Source organism: Homo sapiens, chromosome 1, assembly GCF_000001405.40.
Source record: "Homo sapiens chromosome 1, GRCh38.p14 Primary Assembly".
Taxonomy (NCBI): domain Eukaryota; kingdom Metazoa; phylum Chordata; class Mammalia; order Primates; family Hominidae; genus Homo; species Homo sapiens.
The window spans coordinates 68,637,176-68,662,895 of NC_000001.11; the positions used below are offsets into that span (position 1 = coordinate 68,637,176).

At 34.9% G+C, this 25,720-nt stretch overlaps 1 long non-coding RNA gene across 1 annotated transcript; it reads right to left on the reverse strand.

Moving 5' to 3' along the window:
* Positions 1–24,592, reverse strand: LOC107984967 (uncharacterized). The gene is made up of 4 exons (XR_001738104.3): positions 24,482–24,592; positions 16,904–17,075; positions 895–1,029; positions 1–200 (listed from the first exon to the last, which is right to left on the reverse strand). It is a non-coding gene; the product is annotated as an uncharacterized LOC107984967 (long non-coding RNA).
* Positions 24,593–25,720: the final 1,128 nt, after the last annotated feature.

The following is a 25,720-nucleotide window of genomic DNA, read 5'->3' on the forward strand; positions in this document are numbered from 1 at the left end:
TCATCTTTGCTATATAACATACAAGTCTGCTTAGGCTGTCATAACAAAATACCATAGATTGAGTGACTTTATGACAGAAATTTATTTTCTCACAGTTCTGGAGGCCAGAAGTCCAAGATCAGGGTGGCACTATGGTTGGTTTCCGGTAAGGGCTCTCTTCCTGGCTTTCAGACTGCTACATTTTTGCAGTATTATCATTCCTTGGACACACAAAGAGAGAAAGAAATAGAGATTTCCAGTGTTCTTATAAGTACACTAATCTCATAATGAGTCTCCAACCTCATGATCTAATCATCCCCAATGGACCCGCCTTCAAATACCATCACATTGGGGGTTAGGGTTTCAACATATGAATTTTGAGTGAACAAAAAGATTCATTCCATAAAACATAGCCCAATTAACGGTGCAGCATAACACCACATTTATCTCATAACATAATCTAATCAAGGTTTTTGCCATACTTTACAGTTTAGAGGCAAGTCTCTGGTTCTACTTTCAAGGAGAATGAATTACATAAGTGTGTGTCTCGGTGCAGTCACCTTAAAGTGTATTTGCTATAGTAATGTTTACACACTCTTCCATCAAGAGGCGGGGGCCGGTATGTTTCTTTCTGTTGAATGAATCCTTCTTTTTGACTTGCTTCTGTTATGTAGGATGCAGTGGAAATGACGCTTTGTGACTTCTGAAGTTAGGTCAAAGGAGGTGGTATAATCCTTTACTCCCCTCATCTCAAACTCTTTCTTTCATTCTTTATCTGTTTCAGGACATATGTCCTTGGAATCATGAGCTGCTGTGAAAAAAGCCTATGACCCTGAAGCCACTATGTTGGAGAGACTTAATGGAAAGGCCCATTTGGAGAGGAGAGGCCATCAGTCAGAAGCAGGCATCAACTACCTGACATAGGAGGGTAGCTGTCTTTAGATGATTGCACTTCCTCATCTTTGAGTCTTCCATCTGAGACCGCAGACGTTATAAGGCATAGAAAAGCCACCTCTGTTGTACCCTGTTGGACTTCTTAATCCATAAAACCTAAGAGCAAAATAAATGGCTGCTTTATATTATACATGTTTATTAGTGTGAGAGCAATCTGTTATGTGACCATAGTAACTGAAGCAACAATGAAGAAAATAATTTAAAACTAGCTGATCTACTATACATAATGGTTCCCAGACTCATATACTAAGACTCTCCATAAGAAGTCTTCTACTGGCCATCTGTCTCCTTAGGGTCTGGCTTTCTACCATGTTGTAAAGACTGCTCTACTGCTCAGTTGGAATATCTTGAAGAGATCTTGCCACTTCCTATTTGAATTCAGGCCCTCAGAAAGGAAAAACAGCATCCTAAAGAAGAAAAAAATTCTAGATATTTGAAACATCACTGGCAATGAATACTTAGCCAATGACAGTCCATGGAAAGTGCCTGAGCACCTTAATAATTCACAGCTTTTCATGCCATATGGGTTCCTTGCTTATTTTTACCTAGCCAAACTATGTTTTAAATTGTCTTATCCTAAAGTGAAAATGTGGTCTTCTCCTAGAGATGAGTAGAATCTTTAATGTTTAGAGAAATAGAAAAGCTATTGACTGCTTTAAAAATGGCATGTTTTTTCATTTTTCAAAAATATTAAGGTCAATACTCAAACATAAAACCTAATGATTTCTATTCTATTCAAGAAGGTGGATTTGGAAGAGGTCAAGAGACCATTTCACTTTAAGGCACATTGCTTTTCTTGCTATCAATCTAAGGGTGGGTGACAGGAAGAGATGAGATGTTCAAAAGAGACTTACCCTATTCTATATTAAAGAAAGTAAGAGATGTGAATGGAGCAGTATCCCAAAATTAAGGGGAAGCTGCTGGTTTTGTTGTCATAAAATAAGAAGAATGAAATTCAGCAAACAATCCACATTCTTCAACTAAATTATTCCTGAAGGGCATTTGCTTTTTAAAGCTTTAAACATCAAATATAGTTTTCTGGGAGTTTTTCTTCATTTTTTTAGTAATGGATTGTCACCTTGTCATCTGTCTCTCAGACCACTCTTCTTTAGTAGTTTGTGAAACCAGAGAAAGTATCACTTAAATTATTTGTCCTTGTGTATCTTATTTTCAAAAGCAGGATTCCAGGGGCAGTTGGGAGATAAAAGAAAAAAATCTATATCTCTTATGTTCTATTAAATCACTGGATCACTTGTTTTTGTCAACAATAACACCATCTGGTCTGTTAAAAATTGATTTAATAAATATGCTATGTGACATCAACTGCCCAGACAGATTTGCTCAAGGGACTAATGCCCAGAGTTTGAGAATCTTTGCAGGACTCATTAGTATACATTTGATGGAGGAATGCCCTCTGAATTCCAGGTGCCCATAGGGGATTTGCATATCATAGAGCTGAGGGGTTGTCCTCAGAGAATTACAGTCTGATCCTTTTCCTTAATATTTGTTCCCCTGTAGGGTCACTTGTCAGCCTCCTTTGCTCTTGAAGAGGGTGAGTCATTTTTTTTTCTTTTTTTCTGGAGACGGGGTCTTGCTTTGTCACCCAGGCTGAAGGGGAGTCGTGCAATCACGGCTCACTGCAGCCTTGACCTCTGAGGGCTCAAGTAATCCTCCCACCTCAGCCTCTTGAGCAGCTGAAGTCACAGGTGCGTGCCACCACTCCTGGATCATTTATTTTTATTCTTATTTTTTTGTAGACAGGGTCTCTCTATGTTGCCCAGGCTGAGTCATTTTGATTAAACATGCAGGTCTCTGCTTTAGAGACACCTTTGCATTTTTTTTTGTTAGGAAAACTACTATCCTGAAGATTGTTGATTCTATCATTTATCCAAAAAAATGAGATTCTGATTAGTCCAAACACAGAAGTCCCTGCAGTAACAGCAGGGTTGTGACCTGCATCACAATAAAAATAGCATTCAATATACCTGCTGCAGATAATTTCTAGCAAAGAATTTGTACTTTATAATTCTATTTTCATTTTATCAGTTCGTCTGTGAATTTTATCAATAGCATTTTAATCCTTCCTACTTTCTAAAGGACTAGAGTTTTGACCAATCTGAAGATCTTTGAGGGAAAGGTTCAAGATTTTTGCTAATACAGAGCTGTTTCAGCATGTTAGCCAGGATTAATCAGCCCTTCACAGGAAATGTTTTCTTATTAAAGAGGAAATCTCACCTGTTTTGGTCACTTACCTTGCAAACAAACTTTCTTTTTCATAGGAGAAAAGCCTGGTGTGATTCCAGGGTTTCATTTTCCCTGCTTTCTTTCTTTCCACATGCTTATTTTTTGCTCAATTTTCAATACGCTACTCACAGTCATCTCTTCATTTATTCCTTTTCTAATTTCTCCAGAGGATTAGTTGTTTCCTCTTAAGTTTCACATGTTTCCATATGAGGAACCAATCTTTATTATAATGCTTAACACAATGTCTAATACAATTATCTCTTTATGTGTTTTTTTTTAAATAAAAGTGAACCTAAATATTGAGGACTATGTCTCTTTTTCTCACATTTCTATGCGTCTAGCATAATAGTATACATTTTCTGAATGTTTCTTACATGAAAAAAATTCCTTTGGTGCAAAAGACTCTTGCAGATTATTTGCTTCCTAACACAGAAGTTTTCTTCTTTACAGTGGATTTCCATGCCCTAGTGTGATTCTTTTTGTTTCAGTGTGGTTTGAATTTTTCTGTGTGCATTGTCATTTTCTTATTCAAATATAATTAACTGGCAGCACAGTTAACACTAATAACAAAATGAGTAATTAGTGTGATGTTTGCTAATGATGTTCAGTTTAACTGCCACCCTGCCTTTATTTTTGTTACTAATGGACCTTGTACTTATCATGATTCTCTACTATAAACTCTATCAAGAGAAGTATACCGGAAGAGCAGGCATATACGCCTATACTTTTTACCCAGAGGGAAGGACTAGACTAAGGTTGCACATAGTCTTTTGATGTTCTGTACTGTATTGTATTCTCATCAATATTGTAGACATAAAGTCTGTTCTCATCAAGAAATAATGCAGCAATGGTCTTATGTAGCAATCAAGCATCTCATTAAATTCTGTAGACAATTCTTCAGCAATCAGATGTTTAAAAGAATTTAGGTCTATGTAAAAGATATCAGACACTTTTTACCTCTTATTTTTTTCTCTGTTGCTTCAAATATAGATCTCAAATACAAAGTAATGTACTTTTAAAAAAAGGATTAATGAGATTTAGGGCAAATCTATTGCTAAATTGTGCTCTTTATGTTTTTATATGAAATGGATGCTATTTCTTTAAGAACCAACTTTTATTTTTATTTTGGTTTAAGTTGTAATAGGACTTCCCTCCACATAATTCCTTTTGTTGGGTTTTATATTCCATATCTAAGCAATTTTTATAGCATTTATTATGTTATGAACATGATTGTTTAAATTTTGTTGAAGATGACTTACATATATATATAAATCTATTTTCCATAGCTAGAGTGAACTTCTTTTGTGAAGAGGGATATAGCTTACATTTTTTCATAAAATATAAAAATATTTTATTATATTTCTATTTTCAGCAGTGCTTATCATAATGCCTGCCCAAAGAAAACGTTCAATAAATACTTATTGATCAATTTATTAACTTTAGTTTCCAAGGGGTGTTTCAAGTCATAAGTGCTATTTTAAACTTACACTTTTATTTCTTTTTAATAAATACCATTTAGGATTTTTTTTTTCTGTGAGACCACATAATGTAATGGTTAAGAGCACAGTCTCTAGAGTCAGGCTACTTGGGTTTGAATCCTAATCCTACTATGTTTTGAACAAATTATTTATCTCTCAGTTCTTTAGTTTTCTTATCTAGATAGAACTTACCCATGGAATTGTGAGAATTAAATGAGTTAAAATATATGTAATATATCCACAAAAAGAGCTTGATATATATATATATATATGTGTGTGTGTGTATGTGCCTGTGTATACATATACATACACATATATATGTATATATAAAAAAAGGATTCTGCAACTTCATAGGATTCTGGAACAATAGGGTTGAAAAGAATTTTTGAAACCAGAATGGAAAGAAATAAGAACACGGTCAGAAGGCCTGGTTTGAGCTCAGTTGCGAGACTTCTGAAGTGACTTCATTTACATAACAAACATACTTATAACTTTGCTACTAACTTCAATGGTGTTTTAAGAGTTCAGATAGAAAAATGATAATCAAGATCACACTGTAAACAGTGAAGCACTGTTGGTATGTTTGTGATCATTATTACCTCCACATGAGGAATTAAAGTCTACTTGATGGGCTTTGGCAAGTCACATTCTTTCAGTGCCTGTCTCACATCTGTAAAATGTGGATAATAATAGAACTCAGTTCATAGGACAGCTACAAGGATTAAATGAGTTAACACCTGTAAAAAGTGGAAAAAGTGTTTGTAGCAAATATGGGGTAATAAGGGTTATCTATTTATTATTTTTATGCATATCCAATAAACACTTGTGATCCAGTACTAGTCTGTGTATGTTTATAATGATTCCCGGGGGTATTGTTAAAAATATTGACCTCTTTGCTAAAGGTTTGGATTGGTAGTTTTAGGGTAGATCTGAGAGAATGAATAAGAAAAATGTCTTGGAAAATTTCTTAGCTTGGTTTTCCTACATTGACATACATCTGGTTTTAAACTTCCTTATATCTGCACTGAGATCTATTATGGGTTATGTTAGTTTTCTTGTGTTACATATGCTTTTCCAATATTGCTACATAAACAAAAACAAAGAACGTTCTCCATATAGGCAAAAATATATAAATAACAGGCTTAGCATATATCACACTTGGGGTTTGTTTCTTCTTCCACTAGGGGATTATCTTTTAGTTTTGCATATACCCATTTGCTTCAATAAGGAAGAACCATGTAGCAGAGAAGCACTTAAGACAACTGTGCTTTTTAGTTCAAGGTGGTTTCCTATTCTTTTTTCTCCCCTCTTTTTAATTATAGTTTAAGTTCTAGGGTACATGTGCACAATGTGCAGGTTTGTTACATAGGTATACATGTGCCATGTTGGTGTGCTGCACCTGTTAACTCATCATTTACATTAGGTATTTCTTTTTTTTTATGCTTTAAGTTCTAGGGTACATGTGCACAAGGTGCAGGTTTGTTACATATGTATACATGTGCCAGGTTGGTGTGCTGCACCCATTAACTCGTCATTTACATTAGGTATATCTCCTAATGCTATCCCTCCCCCTCCCACCCCACGACAGGCCCCAGTGTGTGATGTTCCCCTTCCTGTGTCCAAGTGTTCTCATTGTTCAATTCCCACCTATGAGTGAGAACATACGGTGTTTGTTTTTTTGTCCTTGCAATAGTTTGCTGAGAATGATGGTTTCCAGCTTCATCCATGTCCCTACAAAGGACATGAACTCATCCTTTTTTATGGCTGCATAGTATTCCATGGTGTATATGTGCCACATTTTCTTAATCCAGTCTATCATTGATGGACATTTGGATTGGTTCCAAGTCTTTGCTATTGTGAATAGGTGGTTTCCTATTCTATGCTCAAATACATCTTCACAAAGACTAGTCTTGTTTAAACAGTATAAACTCTAAACCCATAATTTTCTAGGTACTAGAAGCCACCAGTTATGAGAGATTTCTTTATGAGTGGCAGGAGGGACTGCTTTATGTTTTTAATAAGAACAGTAAGACTAATTCTCCTCCTTGGAATTGTCTAATTTAAGGCTGTTCTTTCACTTGCCCTCTCAACATTGAATCATTCTTATTCTTAACACTTGAGGAATTTGGTAGAACTCATGACTAGCTTACAAGTCATGGAAACGTGAATATAGAAGTTATTTCTGCTTCAAAAATTACCTTGGTAAAATTATTGGCAGAGGATTTAGCAATACAGTGTTCTTGGATTCATCTTTGTATTCTTGCCATATAGTGAGTGGCTGGTACCTATTAAATCTCCAATAAATATTACATAAAGAATATTAATGGCTTATATTTTGCCAGACATTATGCTAAGCATTTTATTTGCATTATCTCATTTAATCTTCACCCAATAATGTCAGTACTGTTATTAACCTTATTTTACATAGGAAGAAACTGATATATAGAAAGTCTGAGTAACAGGTTCAACTTCTGAGAGCTAGTGAGTGACAGAAACTCTGAGTCTTTTATTATTCCAGAGATTAGCTCTAAAAACCTGCCTTCATTAACCTATAAAGGAGAGATGCATGAATAAATGTTACCAAGTCAAGCTTTGATTTCCTGGTGATATTGTTCCAGGTTAACCCCATTTGGCTCTGATGAGTCTATAATTGGAATCAATCTGCTCTAATTATTGCTTCTGTCTATATACTTTAGATATTATCTCTTCTCCACTGAATTATAAAGGATTCTTATGCAAGGACAATGACTCATTATTTTATTCCCTCACTATCCCTCATGTAGTGGACTCACTCTAGGTTTTTGCTAAAAAATATTGACTACATAGCCAAATGACTAGAACATACTAAAAATAAGCAGCAGATAAACAACAGCTAACTGGCCTCAGTGCTCTCTATTGTAAAGGTTACAGATATGACTAATCATTATTTCACTTCTTGGTAATACCTGATGCAACTTAAAATTATTTCTTCAACTACCTTCAGAGCACTGTTACAAATGCACTGCTTTTCCTTTATCTTACAGAAGGATTTCTACAAGATAGTAAATTTCTATGCTTCTGATGTGAGCAACAATTCTGTTTGTTTGCTTCTCGTTTATTGATAGACAAAGGGGCAGAAATTAGGAGTCTTTGATAGTGTTCAAACTTACAACTATTTTGGTATTATAGGATCCATAGCTCTATTAGTCCTGAATTTGTATCGGCTGGATTATTTAATGTTGACCTAATGTTTAGTGTTGCTTAATATAAAGAGTCAATGTTTTAACATATGAAGATCTGGGTCTAGGTTTCACTTAATATTCACTGGTTGTGTGACCATGGGTAATCACGTGTGGTTCTGTTTTTATATCTGTAATATGTGCCTAAGAAAAGCAGGCTCAGTGGCCAGTGTGAAAATTAAATGGGAAAGTCCATCACAAATGATAAGGAACTAAGCAAAGCCAGATTATCATTAGGTCGAAAGACACACCAGCTACTTCAGGGCTTCTGATGGTTAATTTTATGAGTCAGCTTGACTGAGCTAAGGGATGCTGAGATAGTTGGTAAAATATTATTTGTGGCACATTTGTGAGGGTGTTTCTGGAAGAGGTTAGCATTTGAATCTGTAAACTGAGTAAAGAAGGTCTACCTTCAGCAGGGTGGATGGACATCATCCAATTTTTTGAGGGCCTAAATAGAACAAAAACATGGAGGAAGGAGGAATTTGCTCCCTCTGCTTGAGCTAAGGCTTCCATTTTCTCCTGCCCCTGGGCAGCTGTGCTCCCGGTTTTTGGGCCTTCAAACTCCAACAGCAACTGACAGGACTGCCTGCCCTGGCTTGGTCTGGAACCACACCAAAGCTTTACTGAGACTCCATCTTGCAAACAGCAGATCACACAGGACTTCTCAGCCTTCATAATCACATGGGCCAATTCCTTGTAACAAATGTCTTTGTATATATCTACCTATCTCCTTTTGGTCCTGTTTCTTTGGAGAACAATATTTGATACAGGGCTGTTTGATTCTACATGTTTTACTGATGCCCTAAAATGGCCCCAAAGCTGTTTATGGGGTTAGAGCATAGACTTTGTAGTGGAGCTGCCCTGGAGTTGTTGCATACTAGTTAGATACACTTGGAAAAGTTACTCGTCATTCATATCCATGAGCCTTTCCTCTTACTACTGTTTCCTTTACCTGCAAATCTGCTTCTATCTTGGTCAAGTTGCACATCAAACTTAATTCCCATGAAGCTATCATGGCTTGTCTTCTGTCCCTAGGCAGAGTTTACCTCTCCTTCCTCTGGGTCACCACTGTGCACTCCTGTCTCATTGCTCCTCCCTTGTGGACCACCCTTCTGTTCAAATATGTTTCACGTAGTTCCTTCAACCTGAGATGTTCTCTCTTATTCTTGGGCCTTCACACATGCTGCACTTCTGACTAGGACATTGTTCTCTGTCTCTTAACATACCATCTCCTCATTCTTTAATCTTTTAGTTATATGTTTCTTCCTTGGAAAACAACCTGTCTTAGCTCTGTTGTAACACCTGATCCAACTATTTGTTTAATTTTCTAATTTTCTCTGATAGACTGTTAGCTCCATAAAGGCAAGGAAACTTTTTTATTGTTCACTGCCATATCCCCAGTGCCTAAGTGTTTGGCACATTATCATCACTTAAATATTTGTTAAAGGAATTAATGTATTAAACTTAATATAGAGTCTTCTGGAAAAATTGTTCTGACTTATGAAATATGCTTTATGTTTGTGGAACTATCACAAAGTAATAAGGGTATCTATTTATCTATCATCATTATCTATCTATCTATCTATTTCTCCTGCCAGAAGAAAAAGGGTTAGGTCTTGCCAGCCAAATGGAATTGTTCTTTTATCCAAGAAAGGGAAGTAGAGAGTTAGAGACCAGGGTAACTCTTAAAACATGCTCCTCATACCATATAGGAAAGGCGCAGGGATTAGAATAATATGCTAATACTACACACTAAAGAAAATGTGTTTTTGAATGGACCAGTCAGATGAATACAAAGAAATTAAGGTTATGATTCACAAGCAATGTTAATTTTGTATTGAGATAGCTGCAAAAACAAAAACAAAAAAAGCTGCTGTCTGTTTCTCAAAGAATAGATGAGAGGAGATTGGTGGAGGAGTAATCATTAGTTTGCTGATGGCCATCTCCAGTCATTAAAAAATGGTTTGAGAGTAATGTTAACACAACACAGCAAGACAACAGCACAGAACAGGTGAAGACAAACTTGCAGATTCACCAAGAACAGGGTTTCTTTGTGGTATACTCTGCTGAAATAGATACTGTAGAATTATGTTTCTTAGAAGATTTGAAAACTTCACAAAAATTATATTAAGAAGAAAAATATAGAGCAGAGGTATTTTAGGATGTGAAAATCATGTCTCTGGGTAGTTATATAAACACTAATGATAGGCATTCTCTTCCCGTGAGTCCACGAAATCGCAAACTTAAGATTATTGTGTTTGCTCCCTTACTACCTGCTCCTAAAACCCTGATGCTGCAGAGAACTGATGTAGGCCACAGCCTAATCTCACCAGCATTCTTAATACAAGCTTATTTGGGAAAATTTAAGAGATACAAAACAAAATACAGTATATTTTATGTATTTATGTAATAAAAAATGGAATCTGGAGGTTACATATAAATAGCAAATGTTTTGCAATATCCCTGTTCTCATTGTCTATCAAATTAACCACTGGGATTGGAAAAAAAACCCACCAAAAAACCTAAGTGGGAGAAGAATAGTAATCTCACAGCCAGAGATCTGAGTCTTTAATGTCTGTGTTACCCTGTGAGTCTGGGTCATTTACCACTTAGATGGGTGCCTTCATTGTTTTTTCTTTAACAATTTTTCCCCAATTATAATGGATCTTCCATTATGCTTTCCGCTCTATTTCATTCCTCTTTTGTGATGCAACATCTTGGCCCATATCCAAAGCTTTATTTATTTTTCTGTATTTATAGAAAGAAATTCACTTTCAGATGCTGAAGGCAAGATAGCAAATGAGGAATTAAAATGATCATGAGTATTTGTATTCTACTCTTCTTCCTGGATCCAGTACATTCTTTGTCCCCTTGCACCTAGATAGTTCTGGCCAGTGGAATACTAGCAGAATGATGAATGCCCTCTCCCAGTTGGTCCCCAAAATCTTTGTTAAAGTCCCTTCAGCATTATTTTCATTTTTCTGGTATAGTGGCTGGCTCTAGAGCAGTGCTATCTGATAAAAAATATAAAGCAAACACATATATAATTTAAAATATTCCAGTGGTCATATTAAAAACAGTGAAAAGGGCCAGGTGCGGTGGCTCATGCCTGTAATTCCGGCACTTTGGGAGGCCGAGGTGGTTGGACCACCTGAGGTCAGGAGTTCGAGACCAGCCTGGCCAACATGGTGAAAACCTATCTCTACTAAAAATACAAAAAATTAGCAGGGAGTGGTGGCGAGCGCCTGTAATCCCAGCTACTTGGGAGGCTAAGGCAGGAGAATTGTTTGAACCCAGGAGGCGGAGGTTGCAGCAAGCCAAGATCACACCATTGCTCTCCAGGCTGGGAGACAGAAGGAGACTCTGTCTCAAAAATAATAAATAAATACATAAATACATAAATACATAAATAAATAAATAAATGTAAATAAATACAGTAAAAACAAGCAGATGAAATTAATTTCAATAATATACTTATTTAATACAATATATTATTTCAAAATGTAACCAATATAAAAATTGTTTAAAAGATAGCTCATATTCTGTTTTTTAATACCAAGTCTTCAAAATTCAATGTCTATCTTTAAGCACATTTCAATCCAGACTACATGTACATTTCAAGCGCTAAAGGGTCATATATGGATAATGGCGATTCTACTGGATGGTACATTTTTGAAGGATGGAGTAAAGAGAATGGAACAGTTATTAGACGGAAAACCCTGGGTCACTGAATGACTATGGAGAAATGTTCCTCATCACTGATCTACAATGAACAGTAATGTAAGAAATAAACCTTTGTCAAGTCTGAGATTTGCCAATTAAGATTTTGGAACAATGAGAACACTTGGACACAGGATGGGGAACATCACACACCAGGGCCTGTCGTGGGGTGGGGAAGGGGGGAGGGATAGCATTAGGAGATATACCTAATGTAAATGTAGAGTTAATGGGTGCAGCACACCAACATGGCACATGTATACATATGTAACAAACCTGCATGTTGTGCACATGTACCCTAGAACTTAATAATAAAAAACAAGATTTTTGGATTTGTGATTATCAGCCAGCGTCCTATGGAAGCTTAAATTATCATGCAGCAAATATTCACTACACTTCCTCTGCTTTCCCTTAACCTCCATAACCTCAACTTTCTTGCCTCACTGATATCGAGCCTGGGCAGGTGATTTGCTTTGGCCAATGGAGTGTTGACAGAAAAGACAGTGTGCTGATGCTAAGTGTAGGCTGGAAGACCAGTTCATGATTCTCATAAACTTTTTGAGCTTTTATCTTCTCCTTTAAAAAAAATGGATCAAAAAAAGAAAAAAAAACAAAATAAAAAATAAAATTAAGAAAAGCAAAAAATATAAATCAGATGACCTACTGGTCCCAGAAAAATGGGAAATACTTTGAGCATTCCTGAAATGAACCTATTGCCTGGAGTTCAGTTCAGCTGTGCAGTCTAGATCAGTTGAACATCAGCTCACCTGCTTATTGTTGCTTGCAACTGTGTTTTGAGGTGAATTGGTGTGCAATGTTATGGTGATAATAGCTGACTGATAGAACTACCCTAAAAGAGTTTTATTCCCCATGGAAGAACCATCTACCCTACTGCCAACCCACAATCCTATCTTCCTGTTGGTACTTTTCTATGGTACATCTCCTCTTCCATCCTTCTTTCCCTTTCACAGTCCTCTAACTCATGTTCTCCCATGTTATCAGCCAGTATTGGTGGGCTTTTTGTTTTATAATTATTTATATGTGTAATTTAGAGGTTAGCCAACTTCTTCTTACAACTTAAGATCTACATATGTAATCATCCTTTCAGTCATTCAATACTTACTTTCTAGGCACTGTTGTAATCTACAAGGATGCAATAGTGATTAAGAAAAACTATTTTCATGGCACTTACATTTTTTTGCGAGGAATAGACAACACACAAATAAAAAATGCAAAGAGTGTACTCTTACCACAAAGAAGAATACAGAAGACTAAGAGATTGGAGATGGGGGTTATTTCTATAGAAATGATTTCATAAACCCATTATTTTATATGTTGCATAAATATAAACCTCTCTAGAATCTTTGCCTATTGCTAGAAACTTACATTCTTATACTTCTCTGTGGCTTCCAACTACTTCCACTGAATTAGTTGATTTTAAGGATTATTTGTGTCATTCTATTTGTCTTGCATTTTTCTATCTTGTGTTTGCTGAATTAATGAACTTAGTATCACACAAACTATTCACACAAAGGCATTTGTGTGTATATGAGACTTTACTGAAGGTGTTAAGAATATAGAAGTATTTTCATTATGGTAACACAATTTAAAACTCAGTGTTAGTTCTTCCCAATCCTAAAAGTCTCAAAGTGAGACCCCCACCTCCTGCCATGATGTTTATTTGCATTTTCTGTCTTTATTCTTTTGTTCTACTTTCTGAATTCTCATTTTTTTCCTGTAGCAGAGCAACTGAGCTAGCTCCCTTATTTACCTGGCTCCCCTAGTTGGGGCCCCCAGAGTCTCATTTTTTTTTTTTCACTAAGTAGCTTACAAGTTATTTTTCTACACATGGCAACATTCAGGATTAGGGGTATTACATTATATGCTTAAGGTCACACAGCTACAATGTAATGGAGCTGAGATTTCAATCTAGCCTATCTCACTTTAAAACTAATGTTTGTAAAGTGAAAACAAATTTCATAGTCACTTCACTTAGCAAACATGTAAGTTTTTTCCTTTTAATAAATAAGCTCATTTGCTGCCTAGAATCTGCCCAATGGAAAGTAACTTAAACTAATTACTTCCATATAAACTCAGCCATTCTATGAGATAAGAATTTACATACAGATACACAATTGAGGTCTTAATTCTAAGGGTGGTCTTGTCTGTGGCTATCTTTTGTTCATTGATAGTATCCATTGGGTTACTGGTCACTTAGCCTGTTTGTTAGGCAATGGCCTCTGTAACATATCTATTGCTTATGTCCATTGTCTTTCAACAGTCACTGATGCTAACCTGATTCTTCATTATATTCTTGAGACTCTTCCAGTCACCCTGCTCTCTTTGTCACTTTCATGAGAAGAAAAGTAAATCTCACATGCTTTTGCCCAAACCAGACTAACATGTGGGACACTTGGAGATTCTTTCAGGGCCATCTACTTACACATCTTCTTCAGGCAGTGCTTCTTCAATGATCTGCCTTTTCCTTTCTCACCTTCAATTCCCGGGCTGATTTACATGTAAATTTATGCTCTCTAACCCAAGCTGAGCCCTTAGTACCACTTTCAATGCTTTGACTTGTCTTTGGTTCACTCCTTCTCCTATTGACTCACTGATTGTTGCAAGTATGCATCTCTCTCCTTACTTCTCTTGTTCCTAGTCTTACTAGATAGCATATCTTTCTTTTGAACAAAAATTGAAGATATCAATCAAAAACTTCCTCAACTTCTCTTTTTCTCTATTATTTCCTCAGAAGTGTCATAGGAACTGTATGCATTGACAAGGAAGAGTAAGATATGGTTCCTGAATTTATGGAATTAAAAACATATGCTCAAGTACAAAATGAGGGCTATATGCAGTACATGCTAAAGTTTGTAATGATAACAACAAAAATTTGTATAGAGTTATAGAAACCTTAACTACGTTATTTTTTTATGCGTACAACCACTTGGAAGATGAGTATAATTATTACCATCATTATAAAGATGAGTAAACTGAGGCTTAGAGATACAGTGTAATTTGACAAAGATGCCTATTAAAAAATAGCAGAATCAGGACTTGCAGTGGTGTCTGACTTGTAAAAAATAATAGACTCTCCTGTGAACCTATGTGCGATATTTTGCTAACATTTTGTTGACTCTGTTCTCTGCCTCCTGTCTTGGCCCAAATCTGGATGAATGTAAGTCCAGGCAAGCAATCCTAGCAGCAGGCTACAGATATTGCCTTGAACTTTATTCAAAGCAACAGTAACATGTATGTCTGTCTTTTCTCCACCCTGGATTTCTCATTTCTAGGGATCCTTTCCAAGCAGCAAAGTAGAAATAGATTAGATGGGACAACATGGATATATTATATATGAATTATTAACCCTACTTCTGACTAGTAGCAGGAGAAACAAAATGTCAGCAGAAGCTGGAAGCTTCTTCAAACACACAAGCTAAAATTAATCTTTTTTTCATACATAAGTCAGTTTTTTAAATGGCCTATTCCTTTGTCAGGGATACAAACTCTTTCCCAAATCTTCTCATGGTTGGAACCTACTTGTCCTTGTGAGGTTGTCTCACTTTTTACTTATTTTAATTGCATGCATTTTTAAAAATTTTATTCCCATTATCGTTAGGTGAGGTTCCCCTTTCACAAATATCTGAAAAAGGAATATGTTCAGTGCAGCTTTGATCAATATGTTTATATCTATCTAGTAGGAAATTCATTATATGCACAGCTACCATCACTCCCGTAGTTTAAAAAAAAACGCAACCCACTAAAAAGTACAGCCGGATTTCTCTCCTTATTTGACTCTATCTTCCCTAAAGTTTGTCTAAACTGAATGTCTCCGTCTGAATTTACTACATAACTCCTTCTAATTCTACCAGCTAACTTGATGCCTTCCTCTCATCTTCTCCCATAGATTATCCTTCTGATCAATATTTCCCACTTAGCATTCTTAGTCGAGCATAGTCTCAGATTGCATAAACCACCCTCTAATTGAAAGTTATACCCTTATGAGAGCTACATTTCTTATAGACCTGACAGCTTAGTATTTTGTGTTAAGATTTTTTGTTTTCACTTAGTAATAGAGGCTCGAGTGTTTTTCATCAGCTTCCAAAGTACTTACTTTTCAACTGGGGACTTTCTTATGAGAAGGGACAAGGACTATCTACTTCTTTCGAGTTTTTTGGAGGGTTTGAGTCACCTGTGAACTCCAGAACCAAAAATAATTTTCAAAAATGGAAAATATTCAGTTTGTTGTCACATCCTTTATTTATAGGAATAAGTTGCCATCCTAAAACTGCAGGTCTGCAAGGTCTCTTTAACCTTTCCACTTCAACGAAAACATATCCTGAGTAGCAGTTTCTGAAAACAGTATCTGTGCAATGACTACTGTAGAAAAAATAATTTTGGAAGAAGAAAGGAAGCAGGATATTATGCACACCCTCTGAATTCCTAAAACATCATTTAAAAATAGGAGTTCTTAGCCAGAGGAACCCTGTCTGCTTAGAGAGAGTCCTTGCACGTGTAGTAGTCAACTGGTGTAAAAACTAGATTTTCTTCTATGTCAAATTCTCTGCTATATGAAATTGTTTTGTGCAGTAAGAATGGACTCAGTGGTTTATTGGTTATAATGAAAGGCACAGCCTCGGGGAGCACCTCCTTAAGTTGAGGTGAAGTGAAGGGCTGACAGTTTTTACATGGAAAGTGAATATTATAAAGAATGCCAGAGAGCTCCTCAGGGCACTCTGCATGTACATTTTGCTTCAGATTACTTTCTTGTGGAAGCACAGTCTAAGCATTCTACTTTCTCAATTCTAGAAGCTCTGAACAGGGGGCAACCATGCTTTGCTCTACAAGTCAGTAATGTGTGTGTGTGTGTGTGTATGTGTGTGTGCATATGTGTGTTTTCATGTATGTACCATTTTTACTCTCATTGATTTGTGAGGCTTTGTGATGCGGGACACAAAAAGAAAACTTCAAATCTTTAATTATTCTGGCTTTCAGAGTCTTACACTTAGACCAAAGCAGAAGCTAAATTTGATAGTTCTCTGGTTAGAAGGATGGGTTGGTCCCCAAGGTATTAATATGATTTTCCTGATGCGTTTGATACTATATTGTATTTTTTGAGAATACTTGGCTTGGTATTCATTCATGTAGACACAGTTATCCTTCATGAAAGTTAGGCACAGGAATAAAAAAAGTGGTTTAGAGTATGTAGTGTGGAATTAAATCATTCAAATTAATCAGGGATAATAAAAGTTCAAACAGAAGAAAAAAGTGTAACATTCTTAAAGGGCATCTAGCATTCTTAAGACTTACCTGAACCAGTTGCGTAATCTGCCTAATTCACATTCATGAATTAGCAGACGAGGACTGGTAGAATACATAATTTGAAACTGGAGAGTCCTAAGCTGGAATATCAATTCTTCTATTTATCAATAAAAAGTTCTTGAACAAAGTAAGCAAACTTTCTGGGCACCACTGTCCTCATCTGTGGAAAGAGAAAAAATAATGAATATTTACTTGAGTTTTTGTATGAAATATTGTAATACCTTCAAAGTTCCAACTGCCTATCTCACAGCAGGTATTTAGAAATATTACTTATATCATCCACTGTCAGAAAAATCTAGTATTGCTTTGTTTTAGCATATCTATTGTAAAATTCTTAAGGGCTTATATTTTAATAAAGTTAAATTCTTAAAATTAACTTCTCTAAGAGGATATATAAATAGTCAAGTTAACATCATGCACCTAAATTTGAAGGTCTTCTAACACATCTTCCAAAAATAAACATCAAGTAAAGCAGAGGTTAGTAAATTGTTTTTCTGTAAAGGGATTAATAATTGAGGATTTTGGGCCATAGCGTCTCTGTCACAACTAATAAACTCTGCTGTTGTAGTGTGAAAGCAGCCATAATAATTAATAAACAAATTAGCATGTCTCTGTTCCAATAAAACTTTATTTGAGGCAGATAATGTGCCAGATTTGGCTTGGGAACAATAGTGCGCTGAACTCTAAAGCAGGAAAACAAATGTAACCACATAAATCTCATACATTGCATACAATTGTAAGTCAGAGAAATTACAGAGTTCATTAGTTGTGACAGAGACGCTATGGCCCAAAATCCTCAATTATTTATTGCTTTACTGAAAAACAATTTACTAACCTCTGCTTTACTTGATGTTTATTTTTGGAAGATGTGTTAGAAGACCTTCAAATTTAGGTGCATGATGTTAACTTGACTATTTATATATCCTCTTAGAAACTTCAAAATTGTATTAAGTAGAAAAAGTAAATATTAATTTTTACTGGAGGTACTTTTTACATATCCAATATAAGCCTTTGCAAGGTGGGTTGAGAAAAACTGTTGAAGAAAGAAGAGGGAAATAAAATACCTATAATTGAACTAAAATTAACCGTAGAAAGAAGAATTCAATTTATGAGAGGAGATGCTGAAAAAAGGTTCTAGTAAATTTGAGCACTGACTATAAGTTACTTGAAGATGAGGGAGGCCTCTAGGAGGCAATCTTAGAAAGGCAACACGTAGAGAAGAGGAGAGTAAAAAGGAGAGAAAAGTCTTCCTCTGAAAACTGCATCCTAAAGAGAAAAAGAACAAGTGATAAATGGATGATCCTACAAGAAAAAATAAAAATTCAAATAATTGGAGGCCATAACACTCCATTCCTTCTTCTCTGCTGAAACAGCCATCTATTAAAGAAACTACATGTTGTAACACTGACAGAAAAGTGGTCTTAAACTAGGCATTTTAAAAACTACCCAACTGTCAGCCTGCTCACAGAAATTCAGAAGTACAACCAGTCTCACATATGCAGTTGTCTTAGTTTCTGTTGTTCATAGCAGAATACCTGACACTGGGTATTTTTTTTTTTAAAGGAATTTATTTCTTACAGTTATGGAGGGGGAGATGCTCATGGTTTAGTAGCCACATCTGGTAAGGGCCTTCTTGCCAGTGGAAACTCTATAGAGTCCTTAGGCGACACAGGACATCACATGGTGAGGGGGCTGGGTGTGCTCACTCAATTCTCTCTTCCTCTTCTTATAAAGCCTCTGTTCCCACTCCTGTGATAACCCATTAATGCATTAACTCGTTCATGAGGACCCTCATGACTCAATTTCCTCTTAAAGTTTCCACTTCTACATACTGCCACATTGGGGATTAAATTTCAACATGAGTTTTGGAGGAGACAAACATTCAAACCATAGCAACAGCATAAGAAAAAGCAAATACAACATTTAAATATAAGTTTTTCAGGTGAAGAAAATGCCATTCCTCCACTCTGGATCAACCAGAAGGGAGAAGAAAATTGTAATGCATAGTTCCATACTGAAGCATACATCCTTAAACAAACACATAAAGAAAGATCTTGTATCAGATATTCAAAATCTATGTACAAAAAATGAACACAAACAACAAAAAGAAATGAATTGAGAATGGATTGAATTCAGGAAAAAATAAAAAGAGGTTAAATCATATCAGAAGTAAAGACTGATTTACAAGATCAATCTTGCAAATCAAGAATAGAATAGATGCAAATAAAAACTAAGATATTCTAAAGAAATTCAGAAAATGATAATGAAAAAGTAAAAAGGGTCAGAGATAAAGTTTTTAAATTAACACAGGCAAGGATGAATCAACATAATTGTAACTGGAATCCCTGAAGATGGAAAATTCAACACTGAAAAATAAATAATATTTACAACTCTAATACAAGAAACGTTTTCTGAAGTAAAATGAGATCCATGTCTATGTATTAAAAGGAACTGGCTGGGCGTGGTGGCTCATGCCTGTAATGCCAGCACTTTGTGAGGCCAAGATGGGCAGATCATTTGAGGTCAGGAGTTCGAGACCAGCCTGGCCAACATGGTGAAACCCGTCTCTACTAAAAACACAAAAATTAGCTGGGTGTGGTGGCAGGTGCCTGTATTCCCAGCTACTTGGGAGAGTGAGGCAGGAGAATCTCTTAAACCCAGGAGGCGGAGGTTCCAGTGAGCTGAGATGGCACCATTGCACTCCAGCCTGGGCAACAAGAGTGAAACTCCATCTCAAAAAAAAAAAAACAAACAAAAAAAAAAACAAACTACCAGGTACTTGGTAGAATTGTCCCCAAATTATTAACCCTGATACATATTTTAGTAAAACAATTAGTTATAAACGTAAAGAAAAATACTCATGGCCTCAGGAAAAGCAAAATATAAATCAAAGTATCAAAGGAATATCATTTTCAAGGAAAATCAAAAAAAGAAAGTATGAGCCAAAGATTTTATATCCATTTAAGTTGTCTCTTAAGCTATATAAAAATAGTTTTAAACATGTAATAACTTGAGGCATATTGTATTCTTGATTTTCCTTTGGGCAAACTTTGAGAGAATAAACTTCATCCAACCAAAAAACAAATAAAAGAAAATTCCAGCAAAAGAAATGACTTAGTTTTAAATATAAGTAAGATTAAGAAAGGTGAGGATGAGGTTGAAGTAAATATGTCAATATGTCATATGTAAATATTATATGCTTTTAGAAAGGAAAAATAATGTAGCTAATAGAAGAAAAGAAAGAGGCAAGGAATAAGTAGAATAAGCTCATTGATTATAATATAAGCAATATATACAATCAAGAAGCTCATTGATAAGTATATAAGCAGTTTAATGGAAATCAAAGAGTACCGCTAAAACAAACTAACAAACCAGAGAGTAAAGATTAAATAAGAAATAGAATTCCACAAATATTTAACAATTGTGTAAGTATAAAATATAAATATTTCTAAATTCTAAAAGAAATAAACAAAAATAAGAGAAACACATGATACATATAAAAATCATGGAAACTAAACATAGTACACATAATATTTGTAACACTAAATGATCACTCATATCAATAAATGTAAATAGGTTTAACCAGATATCAAGTGATTTTAAATTTGACTCATAAAGCAGACCCAACTATATGCTTCATAAAAGAGAGAAACCTAAAATAAAATTATTTATAAAGCATGTTATAAAGGAAGGAGCAAAGATTTCCAGACAAATGGAAGCAATAAAAAAAGGCCCAGCAGATTGCAATATTGATGTCAATAAAGTAAAATTCAAGAGAAGAAAAGTATTAAACATTAAAATTAAGGGTAGTTATAAATTCTGATAACCATAAATCATAATGAAGATATAACTGTTATGGATATTTACGCACAAAATCACACAGAATCTACCTTTTTAAAACAAGAGTGTAATTAGACACAGCTAGAAAAAAACTAATAAAGGCAAACTTTAAGACACCAAACCTAAGTACCAGGCAGATCAAGAAACAAAAATATAAGTAAGATACATATGACCTAAACAAAGTATAAATAAGTTAAATCTTAAGGAAATATATCTACTGATACTGATACTGATATCAGAGAATCCAATTTCTTTTCAAGTGCACATTGGACATTTACAAAATCAATTCTGCATTTGAAGTCACAAAGAGAGTATCAGAAAGTTTTGTAAATATAACAACACTCACTGGTCACAATGAATAAGCTAAAATTCAATCACAAAATAAAAATACCCTTTCACCTAAATATTGAAAATTACTTCTATCAACAACACTTAGAAAAATATTATAGGTTTGAATACTTACTAAGATTAAAGGATGAAAATAAACCTATTAAGTTCCCAACTCACGAAGTTATACACAGAATAATAAATGAAACGTTAAGACAGAAAATAATAAAGATAAAAGCACAAATTAACAATGTAGAAATATGAAAGTCAGTTTATCTAATTAATAAATCAAATCTTGATTTTTTAGGAAAAATTAACAAAATAAGCTAGTTAACTTATTCAATTTCCCAAAATGGGAGAAGTCCCAAATATGCAATACAAGACAATGACAAGGATGAAGTAAGTAGTCATAGGAACTGAAGAAATTTTAAAATAATCAAAAGACTATGCTGTTGACATTTATGCAACTATATTTGAAGACGTAGATGAAATAAATGACTTCCTAGAGAAATACCCTGTATTAATTTATTGAACCTATTAGAAATAGAAAGTTTAAATAAACCAATTTTCATATAAAACATAACAAGAAACAACTTTGTTATCAAGAAACAACCTCACAAGGGAAGTTTACAAAATATTTAAAGTCCAGATAGTCCTAATACTACATAGATTGTTTCAGAGCATAAGAAATCAAGGAAAATGTTCAAATTCTTTTTATGAATCAAATGTAACATTAATACCTAAATATGGTGAAGACAGTAGAAAAAATAAAATTACTGATCAATGTAATGTATAAACATCAATGCAAAAATGCTAAATAAAATATTAGCCATCAGAATCCAATACCACAATAAGAAAATAAAATACATTATGACCCAGTAGGGTTAATTCCAGGAATGCATGTTTGGTTAATATTTGAGTATCTATCAGTGCAATATATCATATTAACAGATCTAAGGAGAAAAACAAAACTGATGAATACTTTCTTAAAACAAATATATATATTATATATTTGTATTTATACATATTTATATATTTATATATAAATATAAATATATAGATATATATTTATATATTTATATTTATATAGATATATATAGCGATATAGATATATATGTATCTAGAGGCATATTCACCTCAAGGTCATCAAGGCAAAGATGCTAATTACATTCAATAATATTTAACATTATACTGAAGGTATTATCAAATGAAATTAGAGAAGTGAAACCTATTAGAGTTGTAATAATTGGATAAGAATTAACAGTGTCTCTATTTGCAGATGATATAATAGTATACCTGTGAAATGCTAGAGACTCAATGAGCAAACTTAATAAAATAATTCAGTAAGATAGCAGGTATAGGATTAACCTGTAGAAATCAATGACCTTGCTTTACAAACAATAAGCAGGTAGGGGACATAATAATAGAGAGGCTCTATTTACAATAGTAGCAAAGGAGATGGAGTAATGGGGATGAACTTAACAAGGAGTATGCCAAACCTATATGAGAAAATCTTTATAACATCTTAAAAGATACAAAAGTAGACTTAAACAAATGGAAAGATTGGTTGTTGTTGTTGTTGTTGATTATTTGTTTATTTGTTTAATAGTAATAGGGCTTGTTATGTTGCCCAGACTGGTCTGGAACTCCTGGCCTCAGGTGATCCATCCACTTCAGCCTCTTGAGTAGCTGGGACTACAGGTGCATACCACCACGCCCGGCTAATTTTCTATATATATATTTTTTGTAGAGATAGGGTCTCACTGTGTTGTCTAGGCTAGTCTTGAACTCCTGGGCTCAGACGATCCTCCTGCCTCAGCTGGAAAGACGGTTTTTATTTTCAAACAGAATCTGTTACTATAATGCAGATGTCAGTTCCCTCGAAATTAATTTATAGATTTAAAGCAATCTCAATAAAAATAGCAAATTTTTATGAAGTTAGGAAAATTGATACGAAAGCTACTATTGAAAAATAAATATTGCAAGAATAGCTGAAAAACACTGAAAAAGAAAAACTACAAGAGCCCTGCCAAATATTAAAATATGCTGTAACCCCCTTGTTAAAACAATGTGAAACTGGTACCTAAATGAATAGACATGTCAGGGAAATGGAATGGGAAGTACAGAAAGACACAGAAGTCACATGGATATTTGGTTTATGATGAAGGTGAGATCTCAAATTACTTGACAAAGATGGACTTTTAAATAAATGCTTCTGGGACTATTGCATAGACAATAGACATTGAGAAAAAAACTAGTAAAATGAAAACTTTATATTCAGTTTACATAAGCATTAACTTATGCTTATGTGGATAAGGGATATGGATAAGGGATGTAATGTAAAATAATAAAAGCATGTAAGTACTATAAGAAAATGGGAATAAATTCCTGCATAACCTTGGTGTAGGCAAAGACTTTCTAACTATGCCTCAAAATTCAGATTCAGGAAAAACAATGACTACATTTAACTATATACAAATAAAAAAGGGTTGTATGACAAATCAAAGTTAAATGACAAAATAAAATAATGTGTTAATAATATATATCTCAAGTATTATAAAAGAAAGTGATTCCTAATTTATAAAGGACCCTTAAAAACTGAGAACAAAAAGACCTTATAGAAACCTGGCAGAAGACATGAACAGACAATTAATGAAGAATATATTAAAATGGTTCTTAAATATAAAAAAGATATTTAATTTCACTTATGATAAAAAAATCAAAATTAAAATAATGTTTCTCTACTATCAAATTGGTAACAGTTTATAAACTCTGCTGGGATTATCCCTTCGTTGGCTACAGCCTGGAAATTCTCCCAATGCAGTAAACTGGGGGTAATTGTAGATGTCACTTCATTTGTTTCACGTATCTCAGGGGTTACTGTTCTTTACCTTCCAATATTTAATGTTTTGAAAGCCATTTTTTCTTGTATTTTGTCTGTTAGTTTTAATAGGAAGTGTAAATCTAGCCCAGCTACTTCATTTTTTCTGATTTGAGCCACAGCCTATTCATTTTTTTTTTTTTTTTTTTTGAGACGGAGTCTCACTCTGTCGCCCAGGCTGGAGTGCAGTGGCGTGATCTGGGCTCACTGCAAGCTCCGCCTCTGGGTTCACGCCATTCTCCTGCCTCAGCCTCCAGAGTGGCTGGGACTATAGGCGCCCGCCACTACGCCCGGCTAATTTTTTGTATTTTTTAGTAGAGACCGGGTTTCACCGTGTTAGCCAGGATGGTCTTGATCTCCTGACCTCGTGATCCACCCGCCTCGGCCTCCCAACATGCTGGGATTACGGGTATGAGCCACAGCGCCCGGCCGAGCCACAGCCTATTCTTAACCTGTAGATATTTACAAGTCAGCAAATGTCCTGAGAGGAAAAATCAGCTTAAATATGTCAAGCTCACCTTTAACAAGAATTTTCTTCTTTCTAGGACCTTGGCACTTAATGTCCTAGCTGCCTTGGTTGCTTGCTGATGGTTTTAAACAGCTTTTTGTTTTATTTATCAGATGACATGGTTTGGCTCTGTGTCCCCACGCAAATCTCATCTCAAATTGTAATCCCCACATGTGAAAGGAAGGGCCTGGTGGGAGATGATTGAATCATGGGAGCAGACTTCCACCTTACTGTTCTGAAAGTGAGTGAGTTCTCAGAGGATCTGGTTGTTTGAAAGTGTGCGGCACTTCCGCCTTTGCTCTCGCTCTCTCTTCTGCTCCACCATGGTAAGATGTGCTTGCTTCCCCTTCATCTTTCATCATGATTGTAAGTTTCCTGAGGCCTCCCAGTCATGCTTCCTGTTAAGCCTGCAGAACAGTGAGTGAATTAAACCTCTTTTCTTCATAAATTACCAGTCTCAGGTAGTTCCTTATGGCAGTGTGAGAATGGACTAATATATCTGATACTATAGTTCTTCTGAGCAGGATTGGTCTGATAGATGCGTTTTCATTATAGGCAGAGGCAAAAGACTCAACCAATATCTCTTTCTAATATGGCTCTTGCCTCATCCTTTCTAGTCTTTTCTTTCTAGAACTCTGATTAGATATATTGGATATTCTCATTTTTCCTCCATGTATCTTAATGTCTCTTTCATATATATCATCTTGCCCCCTTTCTGTGTTGAAATCTTTATTTTTCATGATCTATTATTTAATTTATGATTTCTATCTTTAGCTGGTTAACTTGTCTATTGTTTTGTAAATTTCAATTAACATAATTCGTTATTTCCAGGGTTTCTATTTAGTCCTTTTTCAAGTTTGTTTGGGTCATGTTTGATAGTCTCTTATTTCTTTTGTGATACTTTAGTTTCTTTTACCTCTTGAAACATATTCTATATATTGTATTTGATAATTCAGTTATTTTTAGATTTTGTGACTTTGATTCTTCAGTTTATTATATAATTTATTATTCAGTTTATGCAGAATCCTTTTCATAATTATTTATTTCCTTGGTGTTTTTGATTTTCATTCACCATTAGAAAATTTCCTGGGAATTTCACCTGTGGGAATTCCTTGACCTATTTATAAAGTGCATTATGTCATAGGGGATTTGCATTTCCTTTCACTTGGTTGTAGCTGTATGACCAATGAGGGTGACTTTAAAATTATACTTTTAACCTTTTGAGGGAAGAGGCACCCCACAAGTTGTA